A 17,716-nucleotide genomic window follows, 5' to 3' on the forward strand; every position below is an offset into this window, starting at 1 on the left:
AGATAGTTTGTTACAATTCCCAAGAGGAGGGGGCATACCCCCACCACTGGGCACAGGGCACACAGGGAAGCAGTAGGGTTAGGAGGCAGAAAGGGTGAGGGGAAAACATGGGCAAGAGCCTTTATTGTGGATCCCATGGGAAGAAATGAGTGAAGCAGTGTAATCAGGTTTAGAATTGGTGAGTTTGAATAATTTCAGTGGGCTCTGGGATATAGGGATTGTCTCTCATCTGGTAGTACTTGGCCCTGGGTGATTAGGGCAAGTGGATAGTGACCCTGAGTTTGACAGCTTGATAAGGGAGGTGGTTGGGGAATAGGCTCTAGTTTAATTGGTTTGTATATGAAAGGCATGCTTGTAGGAGTCCTTTACTATCTCTAGGAATTATTAATAGCTAGCCCTGGGAGGGGCAGTCCCTCCAGGGTGAGCAAGGCCCCAGATGTCAAAGCCTCAGAATGAAAAAGCAGGTTAATGCGGTCGACTGCCTCTCCTACGAATTCCTGCAGCTCACTGACTTAAATACACTGTGAGCCTTACAACGCAGACGTTAAACCTCCAAAAGTAAGGTGCCCAGGCACGGAAGGTGATTTTCAGGGGCAGCTCATGTATGACTTTTTTTAAGTTATGTAGTTATTTTAATGTATATTCCAAATAAACCAGCATACCAAATACTTTACTTCATTGATAAAATAAATTTAAGAACATCATAACAAAAATGTTATGTAAAAATGTAAGTCCAGTATTAAAGAACAATTTTAAGCAAATAACATCAGAGGCTGTGAAGGTAGTGCACTTCCTTCTCTTTGTCCCCATTTTATCTCCAGCACCCAATACAATCTTGACACTCAGACCTTGTCTAAAGGAGTGAATGAGGCAGCCCTGGGCTAGCGGCATTGGCATCACCACACTCCAGAACATCTTGGAAAAGAGGATCAACAGTAGATGGAGCGGAGGAGTTGTTTTATCTGAACTTTTTTTGCAGATGAGAAAATAGGAAGCCAGAGCCAAAGAGAGGACTTCCTTGAGGTTCCACAGCAAGTTCATGGCCAGTTCTGACCCAATCTTGTTCTTTCTTTTTTTTGAGATGGAGTCTGGCTCTGTCACCCAGGCCGGAGTACAATGGCGTGATCTCGGCTCACTGCAACCTCTGCCTCCTGGGTTCAAGTGATTCTCCTGCCTCAGTCTCCGAGTAGCCGGGATTACAGGCACACATCACCATGCCTGGCTAATTTTTGTATTTTTAGTAGAGATGGGGTTTCACCGTGTTGACCAGGCTGGTCTTGAACTCTTGACCTCATGCAATCCACCTGCCTCGGCCTCCCAAAGTGCTGGGATTACAGGTGTGAGCCACCGTGCCCGGTCTTATTCTGTTCTGTTCTTTTCTTTTCCTTCTCTTTCTCTTTCTGTCTCTCTCTTTCTTTCTTTCTTTCTTCTTTTTTTTTTTGAGATGGAGTTTCACTCTTGTTGCCCAGGCTGGAGTGCAATGGCATGATTTCAGCTCGTTGTAACCTCCGCCTCCTGGGTTCAAGCGATTCTCCTGCCTCAGCCTCCTGAGCAGCTGGGATTACAGGCAGGCGCCACCACACCTGGCTAATTTTGTATTTTTAGTAGAGACGGGGTTTCTCCATGTTGATCAGGCTGGTCTCGAACTCCCGACCTCAGGTGATCTGCCCACCTCAGCCTCCCAAAGTGCTGGGATTACAGGCATGAGTCACCGTGCCTGACTGTGTTCTCCTTTCTTATCACTGAGATCAGCTGTGTTGCCATATAGGACTCAGTTCCAGGGCAGGACCCTTTGCTTCCTCCTGGAAGCCCCTGTCTGTCTGCTGGCTCATGCAAGGCCTCCGCCAGGGGCTGGTCTGGATGCAGCACTCCCAGCAGCAGCCTGGACCCTGGCTGGGTGCACTGGGGCTCTCAGGCACAGACTGTCCAATCTTCCAGGCCAACTGAGGCTCCGGATTTTCTTTTTTCATCAATAGAGGTTAAGGATGTGTCCAGGGTCACACAGCTATAGCCAGTCAGAACCAGGTCAGAATTGGGTGTTCTTTTCAGTGTACTCCACCACCTCCCCATATGGGTGACTGGATGGAGTGGGCTGAAATGGGCTCTCTGGCAAGGTAATGAGCTCCCCATCCCTGAGTGTGCAAGAAGAAGATGGATATCCCTTCATAATCCCCCTGGAACTGTGACACAGGAGATTTTGGCATAAGGTATTTCCAGCTAAGGGCAGTGCTCAGCGACATTTGATGTCTGAGTCACTGATGACCTTTGCTCTTCAGATTTCCAGCTTGTTGGCTGCTTCATGGGCTGGGCCCAAGGGGCTCAGTTACTGACACCATCAGGAAAGGGCTCTCAGGGAAACATGCTGAAAGCTATTTCCATTTATTTGTATTTGCTGCCTTTGACTTTGGACAGTAGCTCAGCTCCTGGGAGATCTGTGGGGGATGTATGTGTTGAGAGTTCTGGGGGTGAGCTGAAGGCCCCGGATCCTTGAACTAGACCCTGCAGAAAGCGATGGATTCAGCCAAGGCCAGGGTTCTGCCTAGGGGCTGATGGGAGCGTGGCATCCTGGGACGCTTCCCCAGAGTGGCCACTAGAGGGGGCCCGCTCTCAGCTGCACTCTAGAAGTGATACCTGGAGGGCATCCCTAGGTTGGCCCATGGTGGAGCAGGTGGGATGTCAAGCTGGTCCAGGGTAATAATGTCTTTCAAACTTGTTAATTGAAATCTTACATGGGGTCCCACATTCCAGGGACAGTTAGCAGGGAAAACTTTGGGGTGGAGGGGAAGGAGCAGCGTAGAGAGAGGAAATCTGTCCATTTGTACACAGACTTCTGCTCAGCCCCTCTCCGCCCCCATGTTCTTGGCACCGGGCTAGGAGGGAAGCCATGGACCAGACTCGAGGGGGAGTGGAGAGCAACATGATGGTCGGGGAAGAGAGAAGGTGCACAGCAGCTGTGTGTGCACAGCCATGCGTGGGTGCCTGGATGAGCCTCTGTCACTGCCCCGGAGGGGAGCTCAGCCTGATGGGTGGGCTGCACCTCCAGCTGCCGCATGTCCAGCAGAAGGGGCTGGTTACCCTAATCCCCATCTGCCTCTGCATCAAGAGGCACAGCATCCATGGTGAAACTGTCTCTACTAAAAATACAAAAATTAGCCAGGTGTTGTGGCAGGCGCCTGTAATCCCAGCTACTGGGGAGGCTGAGGCAGGAGAATCATTTGAACCCGGGAGGCGGAGGTTGCATTGAGCCGAGATTGCGCCACTGCACTCCAGCTTGGGGGACAAGAGCGAGACTTCGTCTCAAAAAAAAAGCACAGTGTCGCCATTAACAGTCATGTACAAAAATGCAGGAGAAAGCGTCTAACACTTAGTGAACAACTCATGTTAAAGAGTACAGTAGGACCGCATTTTCAAAAATGTGTGTATACATACAAAATGTCAATGTACTATTAATGGTGCTGAATTCGGCTGTGGAATCCAAATGATTTTTATTGTTAAGAATTTTTGCCTCTGAATTTGTGCCTGTAAATGCATTGCGTTTGTAAAAGGAAAATAAATTAACAACAAGTGTTTGTTTTTCAAGCATGAGAGAGGGCCCACACCTGGCTCAGGAATGCAGCCTCGGCCTCTGGCTCCTGAGGCCCCTGCAACAGTTGTTAGAGGCCTGCTTCCGGTCTCATGCTGCCCCTGAGCGTCTAGGGATGGTGGGCAGACCCTGAACTGGGTTCCTAACCCCCCTGTCTAAGACATGCCAGTGTCTTCAGCCCCTTGTCGCCTACATTCTTCTCCCACTGGTTCTCTCATTGTGCACGTCCCTCCCTACCTCCTGATCTCCAGAAGAGCTAGGCTGAGAGGTGAGCACCAGTGGACTCCTTTGGGCCCCACCTCAAATCCTGTCTGCAGCACCAGCTGCTGCTGCTGCTACTAAACACCAAAAGCCTGACAATCAGCTGCTTCTCCAACCCGGTGGCAGTTGCTGGGATCAGTTGTATACTACCATGAAACCCTGTCGTCTCACTCTCAAACCCAAAATCCAAGGCACAACCAAGAGACATCGCTCTAAGCTGAAGTGCACCTCTGGAAGCTACTAGAACAGCCAAAGATGCTCTTAACACACGTGCATACATGGATGCAATTGCAAATGAGGACATAGGTGGGTACAAACACCAGGGCCATGTTCGTACTCAAACACAGAAGCAGACACACACACCTATGCATACATAATCACATGTGCACACTTATGCATGTGGCACTCAAGCAGGTACACAGGCAGAGTGGTGGTTATGGACTAGGACATCCAATTACCCAATTCCAGAGATGTTTATTGAGCACTTTCTAAAGTCCAAGTTTGGTTGCTGGGCTCTGGGGATGCAGAGATGGGTAAGCCACTCACAGAACATTCCACAGCGATCGGCTTCTGTGCAAAGCAGAATATGGTGTTGGGAGGAGTAGAATCACAGGATTTGAGGGCTGAGGCGGGAGACAAATTCAGGGGTACCTCCCATTTATAGAGTGTTTCGTAGTTTCTAGATCACAGCCACAGGAGGCAGCGCAGCTACTTTCCCGTTTTACTTTAGGATGTATGTGGCCTAGGAGAGGCTGGCCTTGGGTCTTAAAAGCTGTACTGCCTCCTGGTTCCTATTACTGTAACTAGGGATTTCTGTGATCCCTGGGGTGGTGGTCCAGGCCTTTGATGGACCCGTGGTGACCCATGTGACTCTGACCCACATGGCCTCCACCTCCCCATCCCCTAGTTTGGGTCATGGGCTTCACAGGCCACGTCGCTGAGGACACTGTAAGATTGCACTTAGGGCCAGGTGCGGTGGCTCACACCTGTAATCTCAGCACTTTGGGAGGCCGAGGTGGGCAGATCACCTGAGGTCAGGAGTTCGAGACCAGCCTGGCTAATATGGTGAAACCCTGTCTCTACTAAAAATACAAAAATTAGGCCGGTGTGGTGGCGGGCACCTGTGATCCCAGCTATTCAGGAGGCTGAGGCACAAGAATTGCTTGAACCCGGTGAACCTAGGAGGCGGAGGTTGCAGTGAGTCAAGATCACACCACTGCACTCCAGCCTGGGCGATAGAGTGAGACTCCATCTCAGAGAAAAAAAAAAAGCAAAACAAAACAAACAAATCCCAAACATTTCCACTCTGGATGCCAGCTTGAAGGCTCTTGGTCTTGTCCTTGACTTTTAGGCAGTCCTTAGCTCCCAGAGAGAGCAGCATTAAAAATCATCATCAGCAAAGTACTTCATTAGGCATAGCTTTTAATAATGCGGAATGCTCAATTTTTATTGAAATATGTTTGTCAAAACACAGATAGAAAATGCTAGAAATAGAGCACCCCAGAATGCCAGAGCTGGGAGGCATCTGAGAAGCTTCTAGTCTAATCTTCTCCTTTGACAGATGAAGCCTGAAGATTTGGGGGTTGGTTCTCACTGAGGCTGTGCCCTGGGTTGCCCCAGGTGCTGTGAGGAACAGGAATGGAGGCACATGGCACCCACACTGGTCTCTGAGATGCCATCACTCACAGCTTCTCCCCATCAGCCAGGGCCTTGGACACAGCCCGAGCCTGAGTTGAAACCTGGCCCTGGAACAGGAAGTGCTTGGAAGCTTCCCTGCCGTTGCCGTGGTGCTCACAACCACCCAGGAAACCAAGGCAAGCTCCCCCTGTCAAAGCACCTTGGCCCATAAGAAGAAAAGGGGGAGCCCCAGATGTGATGAGCGCTTCCAGGCTTCAGGCTCAGAAGGCGCCCCCAGCTCTCCTGTAACTCAGAGGCCAGTGTGATGGGAGTTCCTCCACTCAGCACACTTCCCCTGTAAACACGCCTGTGGTGGGCAAAAGGGCTTTGGAACGGTAAGTACAATGGGTATTTTTCAGCCACTTCAGAGACCAAGAAATGTGTCCTAGTGACAGGTGCTGTCTTAGCACCTGTCTAGACCCAGTGTTAGACTTGGGTGCCTCTGGTCTACTTGGCAGGGAGGGAGTTTAGGGAATCAGGAGGGGTCTGGGAGCTGAGAGACCATTGTAGGTAGCTCCTGCCCGCCCACAGGGACCTTGGCACAGGCTCTCAAAACACACGAAGGGGCAGATTGCCTGGTGGGATGAAAAAAGAACACATTTCCAGGCCATTGAGATGTCTCTGGATTTCAAGATCAGCTAAAAAAGTTCTTAGATATTGATCTAAGAAAGCAGGAGCTTTGGGTAGCTGAGTGCAAACCCCAGCCTCCCTCTCTCTGTAACTGAAGCGGTGCTCTGTGGGCATAGCGAGTCCCGTGTGGGGTTTATTCTGTGCTGACCAGGTCTGCTTTAGAATGGAACCCTCTTCTCTCTTCTCAGATTCCTTAAGGCCACGTTGAGGATTTGGGGGTCTATGTCTAGGGCAGTGGGAAGCTGGTGAAGGGCTTTAAGCTGAGGAGTTCATCATCCTGGCTCCTGTGAGGTAAAGGGATCAGAAAAGCATGTATGTGTTACCTGAGGTGGGAGAAGCCTCACGCAAGGTGGAAACTCAGCCATCAAGGAAAACACACATTGCTGTAAACTCAAGTGCACCTCTGAAAGCTGGTTGAACAGCCAAAGATGCTCTTAACACACATGCATACATGGATGCAATTGCAGATGAAGACACCAGCAGCTGGGTACAAACACCAGGGCCATGTTTGTACCCAGACACGTTTCTTTTTCTTTTTTCTTTCCCCTCGAGACAGAGTTTCGCTCTTGTTTCCCAGGCTGGAGTGCAATGGTGAGAGTTTGGCTCACTGCAACCTCCACCTCCAGAGTTCAAGTGACTGTCCTGCCTCAGCCTCCCAAGTAGCTGGGATTACAGGCATGCGCCACCACACCCAGCTAATTTTGTATTTTTAGTAGAGACAAGGTTTCATCATATTGGTTAGGCTGGTCTTGAACTCCTGACCTCAGGTGATCCACCTGCCTTGGCCTCCCAAAGTGCTGGGATTACAGGCATGAGCCACTGGGCCTGGCCCCAGATATGTTTTCAAATTAGAGACTGGCAAAGGAAATACACACACACACACACACACACACACACAGGACATATTTTCATACTAATGAAACAATTTGTTTACCATAAACAAAGTCAAAAGACAAATGATACACTTCTGCAGCATGTATGGCAGACAAAATGTTAGTGTCCCCAGTACATAGAGGGCTCCTTAAAAAATGCTAGTGAGACTACAGTAACCCAGTAGAAAATTGCGGAAAACCTATGATTAGGCAGTTTTCAGAAAAGAAAAATTAAACAGCCAATAAATAGATAAAAGAATGCTCAACCCCACTGGTAGCCAGGAAAGTTCAAATTAAAGTAAGAATCTGAAACCATCTGACACTCACCAGCTTGGCAAAAATAAATACGATGATACTACCTAGTACTAAAGATGTTGTGAAAAAAATGACAACACTTATAAATTGGTGATAGGAATGTTAATTGCTGCAATTTTGGGGCAAGTGAATTGGTATTAACTATTTCAATTGAAGATACAGATCTCTGACATAACTATACCACTTGGAAGACTATTTCATAGAAATAAAAACAGCAACACAAAGATATATATATATATATATATATATACACACATACATACATATATATACAGATGCAGATATAGGTAACATGTATAGATATATGTATACACACATGTACACAAACTGCCATAATAATGTGTATGCATATTGTTCCCATTGTTTTTATTATGGGAATAAAATATAGGAAATAACCTCAATGACTTGGCAGAGGAATATTTTAATAAATAATGATGCATTCACTGTATGAAATATTATGCGGCCAGAAACAGTGTCTCATGCCCATAATCCTGGCACTTTGGGAGGCCAAGGCAGGAGGATTGCTTGATATCAGGAGTTCAAGACCAGTCTGGGCAATATAGATCAGTCTGGGCAACCCTGGCTCTAGAAAAATTAAAAAATTAGCCAGGTGTGGTAGCGGACACCTGTAGTCCCAGCTACTGGGGAGGCTGAAGTGGGAGGATCACTTGAGCCCAGAAGATTGAGGCTGCAGTGAGCCTTTATCACACCACTGCACTCCAGCCTGGGCAACAGAGCAAGACCCTGTCTCAAAAAAAGAAAAAGTGATATTATGCAGCTATGTTAAATTTTTCTTTCCTGTCATTGTATTGGTTCACTAGTTACAACAAGCATATATTATTAATACTTTTGCAATTAAAAAGTCCAATTAAGGCAATTAAAAGGCAAAGAAAAACCTGTCTGCCCAAGTGGAATGGAAATTCTATGAGGCAAGGATCGTGTGCATTTTGCTCACTGCTGTCTCTCAGAAACGGCTAACGCCTCTCTCCATATGGCGACTGCACAGGAGATGCTTGTTGGTGAATGGATGAACATAGCCATGGCTGTGATGCAGGTGAAGTGCTGTTTGGGGAGCAAAGGGAGGTCAGCTGAGGTTCTTGGTCATCAAGTGCCGTGGCTTCTGCTGGTTTCACCAGCTCACCCACTTCTCCTCTTCTCTGATGTTGCTCTGGGGAACTACCCAGTCCCCAGTGCACGTTCTTGTTGGGAGAATTAGTCAAGGTGTCTGCCCTCAGGGGCCAAAGAGTGGGCCCCTGAGCTAAGCCAGGCCAGTTGGGGCCTCTTGCTGAGAATCTGGATTGAAAAGAACCCTGCATAGATGGACTGTGGGAGAGCCGACTCATGCTGGAGGCAGCGCCTGACAACAACAGCCACCAACTCCTGGTGCGTGCCACCCAGGTCCCTGCAGCTGCTTCCTGTTCTTTCCCGGAGAGTTCTCCAGTTTCCTTTTGAGTCTATGAGACCCTCCTCTCATCACCATCCTTCCAATCAATCTTAACCTCCCCGCAACCCCATAATCAAATGGGTTTCTGTTGCTTGTAACCCAACAGCCCTGATAATGTTCAGAGATAACTGGAAAGTCCTTGCACTCTTCCTCTTTCATGACCCTGTAAGCTAGGGTGACCATCAGTCTACAGAGCTCCAGGGCAGCCCTGGCCTACAGCCATTGTCCAGGCCTAATTATTAATATCATCCCTTTAGTCTCCTCGTCTGAATGATCAATTATGTGATCAGCCTACTTATAGCTATCTTTTGGTCTTCCTCACTTTGGCAAAGGATTATCTTCTGTTTTGCTTTATCTGAGCCACTTTCCCAGAACAATAGCAGAGATCTCTCTATTCACCTGCTTACAAAAAAAACAAAAAACAAAACCAAACAAAAAACCCCAGCAACAACAAGATATTCTCTTGATTGATAAATAACCCACATTCGAGGCTTATTCATTATTGTTCCTGTGGCAAAGTATAGATTCTTTAGGCCAATCTCCTCCATAATATTTTGAAAAGTATGGAAAATGTCACCTTTACCTCTTTTGTCTTCTAGGTTGCTTGTCTTTTCTCTCCTGCGTAATTTCCACTTTCATTCATGATAATGTCGAACACGGTGAGTAGATCAGTTTCTCAAGAAGGTAGGTGATGAGAAGAAGCATTTGCTTATGGTCATTTTGACAAATTTCCACAAGGGGCTGGGTTCTGCACCACCGAGGACCTCAAGCATTATTGGCTGACTCGGCTGGAAAGAGCGCGTCCAGGCAGCACCGTCCAGAGGGCAGAGAGCAGGCTTGTGGTCTGAGCTGACGATGTTTTACTTTGACGTTTTACGTGACAGCCGGACTACATCTAGACTCAGATTCCACAGTTTTTAATCACCCACCATCTTCTAGGCACTATACTAAGGCATATTTCCCAAACTTTATCCTACTTTATACTTTTTACAGCATTGGAAACAAGATGATATCCCCACAATCCCCACCATCGCCATCCTCACTGTCGTTGTCACGATAACCATTACCGTCACCACCACCACCCATTATTTCCATTTTACACATGAGAACTGAGAGCCTCAGAATGTTAAGTAACTTGCTCAAGGTCACACAACTAGAAAGTAAAATTTGAACTCATATGCTCTAGTCCGTGGCCCATGGTCTCGTCACCTCTCCATTGGTGCCCTGGGTGGCTTGGGATCAATGACATCCATTCCTGTGGGTCCCTCCTCGTGCTTTTTTCCTTGCTAGGTTGCTTTGAGCCTTCAGTCTAAGGTTTACATCCATGCTGGGTATCGTCCTTCTTTTTTATGTAAATTGCTGAATTTCCCCTGGAGCCTCAAGAAAATGTCTAAGACTGAGCAGTTCTGCTCCTGGGCATATAACCAAAAGAATAAAAAGACAGGTGTTCAAAAAAAAACTTGCCCATGAATATTCACAGCACTCTTCACAATAGCCAAAAGGTATAAAAAACCCAAGTGTCCATCAACTGATGAAGGAATAAGCAAAATGTGGAATATTTACACAGTGGAATATTATTCAGCCTTAAAAGAATGAAGTACCAATACATGGATGAACCTTGAAAACATTATGTTATGTGAAAGATGCCATCCACAAAAGGCCACATATTGTGTGATTCCACTTGTATGCAATACCCAGAACAGGTGAAAACATAAAGTCAGAACATAGGGGCTAATCTGAGAAAGCAGGTTAGTGGTTGTCCCGGGCTGGGGACATGGGAACAGGGAGTGACAATTTAATGGGTATGGAATTTCTTTTGGGGATAATGAAAATGTTCTGGAATTAGGTAGTGGTATTGGTTGCATAACGTTGTAAATGTTCTAAATGCCACCAAATTGTACACTGTAAAATAGATACAATTTTATGTTTTGTATATTTTACCACCATTAAAAAAATTCCTTGCCCAAGATCTCCACAGTTTAATATCTCTTTGTATGACAAGTTAGGATACGTACTCAAAGGACAGTACTTAAAGCCTAATACTATCCCTGCCTGTGGATTCTTCAGAGAGCTACCTGCAAAAAACAGTCTTTCTCCTTGACCTCTTACCCTCTGACACCTCTTGTCCTAGATCCTAAATTCCAAATTACTTTGTAGCTTGAGATCCTTGGTCTATGGAATACAGTGTCTTTGCCTTGAGTTGTCTTGTGAGAAATATTAGCCATGTTCAAAAATTAACCAGCACTGTAAAATTTGTCTTGATTTCCTTCTTGCTATACAATTTGGAAAATCTGGCATTTATGTGAAGTTAGAAAAAAAGATGTCTTCTCTTTCTTTGATTACCAAGCAGCACAAAGCTCGGCTGGAACGCCGGGTCACTGGCTCAACCAACCGGTGGCGTTTGCCCAAACAGCCTTTCTCTGGGGACCTGCTCTCACTTTCCCAGATGTGCAAGGCTCTGAGCATAGACTTTGAGGAAGCTTTGAGGAACCCAGACAGGTATGGAGACTCAAAGGTTTGTGGGAGGGAATGGCCCATTATTCCTGGGAGGGGAGGTGCCTGATGACCGGGCCACTCTGATTGGCTGCAGTGGCTGTCAAGGGCACATCTGCAAGGAAGGCTCCCTCTGGAGCCAGCTCTCAGGCATGGACAGGGTCATAAGTGACTACTACCTCTGAGAATGTGGGTGGTTACAAAAGTGCAGAGAAAGATTGAATTTTTTTTTTTTTTTTTTTACAATTTTTCTTCCCAGTGGGAACTTTGAACCCAAACAGGATTCTGAGTTTATTATCCAGGGACCAACTGATTTTTTGACAAACAAAACTTAGTTAGTCCTGGCTCAGTGTTTAGACAGCTTGTAAATGTCCATTTTCACCCAATGAATTGATCCTCTCTCAATCTCATGGCATTCCGAGCAGTAGGCTAGACCCACTTCTCCATGTGATGAGTTCTCTCTTGCCTCTCCTGGAAACACAGAGCTGGACCCTTGCCTTAGTCTGTTTGTGTTGCTATAAGGAAATACCTAAGGATCAGAAATTTATAAAGAAAAAAGGTTTATTTGGCTCAAGGTTCTGCAGGCTGTACAAGAAGCATGGCGCCAGCATCTGCTCAGCTTCTGGTGAGGGCCTCAGTCTGCTTGTACTCATGGTGGAAGGCAAAGAGGAGCCGAGTGTGCAGAGATCACATGGCAAGCGAGGAAGCAAGAGAGAGGAGAGAGGGGAGGTCCCAGGCTCTTGTTGACAACCGGCTCTTGTGGGAACTAAGAGAGTAAGAACCCACCCCTGAGGGATGGTATTAATCTATTCATGAGGGATCTGCCCTTATGACCAAAATGCCTCCCATTAGGCCCCACCTCCAACATTGGGGATCAAATTTCTACACGAGGTTTGGAGGAAACAAACATGTAATTTGTAGCAACCCTATTGCAGAAGGTACACCTCATTTCCCTGGTGCCATGGACCTGGCTTGATGCCGTTACCATCCTTAGGCTGGCAGCATCAGTCTTGTGAGCTCACAGCCAAATCAAAGTGAGCATGGACTGTACTCCTGGGACAGCACCTGGCACAGAAGAACTGCCTGCTCAATCTTTCTTCAGCGAGTAGCCAAATCTTCCCTCTCTAGAGCCACTGGCCAACACTTTTCCGTTGCCGAGTTCCTTAGTGCCAGGGCTCGGCCAGGGATGCAGGTGCTGGAGCTAGGCCTAGGAACAGAGGCAAAATGATCCCAAAAGCTGATGAGAGGGTCTGGGCAGCAAGAACTAAATCTCTGTGAGTCACTGAGCTAAACTGGAGGCAGTGGCCTGAGGGGTGGGGTGTTGAAATGGCATTTGGTGCTGGGCATTTGGACTGTTAAAAGCAGTCTATCAATGGGGCTGGAATCTCCACTTCTTCACTTACTAATTCTGTGACCTTTAGTCAGTGGCTAACCCTCTTTGGGCCTCAGTTTCCTCATCTTTCAAATGGTTATAGAGCACCTTCTTCAAGATGAAGAGTCATCTTGAGGATTAAATGAAGCCATATATTGAAAATGCTTTGCACTGTTTCTGGCAAATAGTAGATGCTTAGTAAACAGAACTATTTTCTTTATTGCCTGGGCAGCATTTTAGTAATTAATCCCGGTGATTTCATCTTGGGGTGTCTCAGCTCTGTGCTCTGCCAGTCAACACCCCCTTTATTTCACTCTGCCTCCTTGCACCTTCCCCAGTTCCTTCCTCCAGGACAACACCTTCCTCCAGCACAACAGGGGCAGAGGAGCCGGTCTTCTGGGGAGAAGCTTTTACACATCTGGCCCTCTCCTTTGTGATATTGGGAAGCTGCATGTCCAGAGGCAGCAGATACTCTCAGGTGTTCTGGGTATGTCTACTGCCACGCATCTGGTGCTCAGCTGATTCAGGATTGGTTCTGCCAGGGCACTTGGGCTCTGTTCCATGAGCCTCTTGTCCTCCTCCTGAGATAGTGGGCTAGCCTGGGCACATGCTTATCATGGTGACAGCAGAGGGCATGAGGGTAAGCCCAGGAGCTCATGTGTCTTTCAAATCTTCCACCATTTCACATTCACTAGGCCCCATGAACTGAGGCAAGTCACGTGGCCAAACTCCCAGTCAAGGGACAGAAAACACACTCCGTCTCCTTATGGAGAGAAACTTTGCAGTATGGAGGCAAAAGGTTTGGACAGAGGGAGGGATGAAGAATTGAAGTCACTGGTGCAGTCTACTGAGTATGGGAGAAACTGATGTTCTGTAATAAACACAAACTTGTCTGGGCATGGTGGCTCATACTTGTCATCCTAGTGCTTTGGGAGGTCTAGGTGGGAGGATTGCTTGAGGCTAGGAATTTGAGACCAGCATGGGGCAACATGGTGAGACCCTGTCTTTACAAAAAATTTTAAAATTAGCCAGGTATGCTGGCTTGAACCTGTAGTACCAGCTGCTTGGGAGACTGAGGTGGGAGGATCACTTGAGCCAAGGAGATTGAGGCTGCATGCAGTGACCTATGATTGTGCCGTTTCACTCCAGCCTGGGAGACAGAGGGAGATTTGTCTCTAAAAATAAAAAAGAGACAGAGAAAGAGAAACACACACACACACACACACACACACACACACACATCTTTTCTTTGTGTTCACAATAGGAATTTGTTCCATGTGATTGTGAGTAACTTCTTAGAAAGAATAAAGGGTGTGTATAACATGAAGGGCTTATTCCTGGTAATTCTTGTGAACCTTCAGGCATCAGGCAACTCTCAGGTGGCAAACTCCACTGTCAGTAAGGGCCTGGAATGCCCCATGCAACATACGTTATATCCCCCAAAGCACTACATGGCTGTTTCTGCCCCACCTGGCAAGCTGTGTTCATGTCATGGATGGTGTCATTGCTGCTTTTCCCACCTGGGGGTGCTGTCTGCTTGGACAGGAGCTGGACCAGTCTATTTCTTGAGTTACGGAAAGGGTCATTCATGATGGAAAGCTGAGGGAACAGGCTCCCAGCTTCTCGTCTATTTCGGGTATGTAATTGTGCCCAGCTGGCCAACACTTCCTTCTGCCGTGTCTGGGTTTTCATGACGCAGGGAGTTCCTGGTCAGCCACTCAGAGGTGCTGATCTTCAGGCTGCTGATCGTCTTACCTTGGTCCTTTTGCAGGCTCTGGGGCACCGAGTGTGGGAGAGGAGGCTGAGAGGAGGAAATGTTAACTTCCTTGCGAGTACTCTAATCTTTTTGTGCCTTAGTTTATGTGCAAATCACGGATACTGTCTTACAGGGTTGTGTGAGAATTATATGACATGATTCATGTAAGGAGCTTAGAAAAGTGTCTGGCACATATACGCTCAATGCACATGTGTCAAGCATGTCCCTGGGGTCCACAGGCGTGTATGGATGCGTGCTGTCATGGAAACCCAGAGATCCAGCACGGGAGGTGTGTCTCAGGCCAGACTGGGGAGGGGGCACCCCCACGAAGGCTCAGGGGGTTGTGGCCCTAGGAAAGACCCAGAGCCCTCCTTGTCCCCAGCTGGTGAGGCTGCCTAGTGGTTTTCTCCCTTTCTGCCCGCAATGCCAAGTCCATTCAAGGGTGGGAGGAGGTCATGCTTAAGAGGTAAGAATGGGAAGAAGGGACCCCTATATTTTTATATTATATTATATTATATTATATTGTATTATATTATATTATTTTATTTTATTTATTTTTAACCAGAGAGTAGTTCTGGGATAGTGGGACTAGAGAACAATGACCCACGTTAACCTAAATAACAAACAGAGAGGAGAGGAAGACTCTCTAAAAGAGGCTGATGTTTATTCTGGAACAGGCATTGCAATGCAATACCAGTGCCACTGTAAACTACGTGTATATTCAGGGATGTAAAGGAAAACAAAGGTTTTTTTGTTTTGTTTTGAAACAAGTCTTGCTTTGTTGTCCAGGCTGGAGTGTAGTAGTGCAATCACAGCTCACTGCAGCCTCAGCCTCCCAGACTCAATTGATCCTCCCGCTTCAGCCTCCCAAGTAGCTGGGACCACAGACATGGCCACCACATGCTGAATTTTTTATTTAATGTTTTGTAGAGATGGGGTCTCTCTATGTTGCCCAGGCTGGTCTCAAACTCCCGGGCTCAAGTGATGCTCCTGCCTCAGCCTCCCAAAGTATTGGGATTACAGGCATGAGCCACCGTGCCTGGCAAGACAAAGGTTTTTAAAGGAAAAGTGAGGAGGATTACATCATTGCTCTGAGATAATTATCCCTGGCTACAAGGATCCATAACAAGGGCGACACCAGTTTGAGTTGCAAGGCAGATGTCCTCGCAGTACTTTTTTTGTGTGTGAGGTTGTGATGGCCTTTGTGTGTGGCTGTAGGTTTTGCAGAGTCTTTTGTGATAGTTCTTATTATCAGGCATTCATGTGTGAGAACTCTCCCTTCCTGGCCTTCCCCACCTCTATTTGTTGGGTGGATTTTTTTGTTTTGTTTTTTTAAAGAGATTTAGAGATGAGGTCTCGCGCAGTTGCCCAGGCTAGAAGGCAATGGCTATTCACAGGCATGATCACAGCTCACTGCAGCCTCAAACTCCTGGGCTAAAGCGGTCCTCCTCCCTCACCCTTGCATGTAGCTGGGACTATAGGAGCATGATACCATGCCAGGCTCCATCAGGGTATTTAACACATCATAACTCCATTTTTATGTTGATACCTTTCACAGAGACAATGAAAGAGAGAATGCTAACTGAAGGCATGTCCTTGCAAGTTATTCCAAACATTCACTCTTTCACTCCTCCCTTCCTCTGGGACCAAGAAGCAGAAAATGGAAGGACTGGGGTCCAGCCCCAGGTCTATGTAACTCTTCCTAGTTAATCAAATTGGCATTTTGCCCTTTGGATAGTTTGCTCCAGGAAGTCCGTATGTCCATGAGAAACTTACTTCCTCTTCTTCCCCTTCTGCCTTTCTCCATCATGGTCATGACTTGGGGGCGTGAGCTCCAGCCTAACAGCACGTTCCCAGCATCCCCGCACCAAGCATTGCAATGGGACCACTGAGTCCCAAACAGTGAGACAACTCACAGATGCCATGTGTTCCGTTCACTTTTCCAGTGATCCTAAAATGAACCACAGCCCTTGGGAACAGCAGAGCCTACATGACGAATGGTATATCTTGACAAGCAGCCCTCACACCCAGGAGAAGGCAGTGTGCTCACCTCTGTTTCCCGGCATCCCTTGGCTCAGCCGATGACACTGATGTTTGTGAGAGTAGTTGAGTTCATGGACCTTGCGCCATATTTTCCAAAGTCTGTGGCTCCATTTTGGGATCACGGTCTGAACTCTTGACTCTGGCCAGCTCTTTCCAGACGTGTCACCCAAGCCACGAGGGGGATCGAGGGAGGAAGCGAGGGTGGCTTGGGTCAGATCTCCACTGCTCCTGTTGAATAAGCAAGTCCAGCTCCCACTGCCTGCCTTAGGCTGAGTCATTGGCAGCCATCCTCCCCCCTTGGAAAGGGCAGCACGTAGTTGGCAATATTCTGGACACGGGCTCCCACCCATGCTTCCTGCATGCACCCTGACCCATGGGGTCTCCTGGGATTGTTGGAGACAGCGTGGTGAAGTTGACACTGCATGACACAGAGCAGCTGTGGTCACAAATGTCTCTTGGCTGGCTGGCTTTCTGGGATGACTGTCTTTAAGCTGCGAATATGTGACTCAAATTTTGTTTCACTTCCTGGCTTAACACGATGAGTCCATGGTGTTTATCTATGTGGTCATGGATTCATTAATGAATATTGCTGAGCACCTGCATGATGGCTTGTGCCAGGGTCATAGCAGTAAACACATGCCGTATCTGTCTTGCAGAGGATACACAAGTAAACAGGCAGCCACAAGACACTCCAGAAGGAGTTTTAAGGGGAAAATCCCAGGACGGGCAGGGGTAAAGCCACTGGCCCAGCATCCCCAGAGAAAGCGGCAATGAAGTTTATTCTGAAGAATGAGTAGGAGCTTAGCAAGGGGAAAGGCGAGGAGGAGAGCATTTGGGAGAGGGAGCAGTGCATGCAAGAGATGAAAGCAGCAGTTGGCAGGTCCAGGTGCAGGCTGCTGAGAAGGGCTGGAGTGGGGACCGTTGAGGGACCAGGCTGCAGAAATATGCAGGAGCTGGTTAGCCGTGCTAAGGAGTTTGGGCTTTCCCCCAAGAGCAATGGGGAAACACTGGAGGATTCTCAGCAGGAGAGAGACAAGACCAAATTTGCATTTTGTGGGAGGCAGGCCTCCGAGCAGAGCAGGGCCGGAGGCTGGGAGACTTTGGCAGTGACTGGAGGGAGATCACAGGGGCTTAGACGAAGGCTATAGCAAGAACAGCAAAGAGAGATGGACAAATTCGAAAGATCTAGGCAAGTGATGAGATGTAACAACACTCAGCATGCTGGCTTGGGCAACTGCAGGCTGGTGGTGCCATTTCCTGAAATGAGAAT

The 17,716-nt window shown here is 47.6% G+C and overlaps 1 protein-coding gene across 7 annotated transcripts in view, besides 1 other annotated feature; it reads left to right on the forward strand.

The window, feature by feature from the left end:
* Window positions 2,532–3,033: an enhancer, noted in NCBI's record as "H3K4me1 hESC enhancer chr10:124027705-124028206 (GRCh37/hg19 assembly coordinates)". NCBI's record gives its function as "activates a minimal SCP1, AML or CMV promoter by ChIP-STARR-seq in naive H9 embryonic stem cells {active_cell/tissue: H9 hESC(naive)}" and the evidence as "EXISTENCE:reporter gene assay evidence [ECO:0000049][PMID:30033119]".
* Window positions 5,638–17,716, forward strand: part of BTBD16 (BTB domain containing 16) — a 66,864-nt gene continuing 54,785 nt past the window's right edge. For 5 of the 7 annotated variants that reach the window (NM_001318189.3, XM_011539239.3, XM_011539241.3 and 2 more), the window contains exons 1-3: window positions 5,638–5,856; window positions 9,382–9,441; window positions 11,130–11,281. In NM_001318189.3, coding sequence (NP_001305118.1) covers window positions 9,424–9,441; window positions 11,130–11,281 — 170 coding nt within the window. In that variant the 5' untranslated portion in view covers window positions 5,638–5,856; window positions 9,382–9,423. Of the gene's footprint in view, window positions 5,857–8,088; window positions 9,442–11,129; window positions 11,282–17,716 lie in introns of those variants that run through there. The other 2 variants (NM_144587.5, XM_017015637.2) reach the window with 2 other exon arrangements.

Source organism: Homo sapiens, chromosome 10 (assembly GCF_000001405.40).
Source record: "Homo sapiens chromosome 10, GRCh38.p14 Primary Assembly".
NCBI lineage: Eukaryota > Metazoa > Chordata > Mammalia > Primates > Hominidae > Homo > Homo sapiens.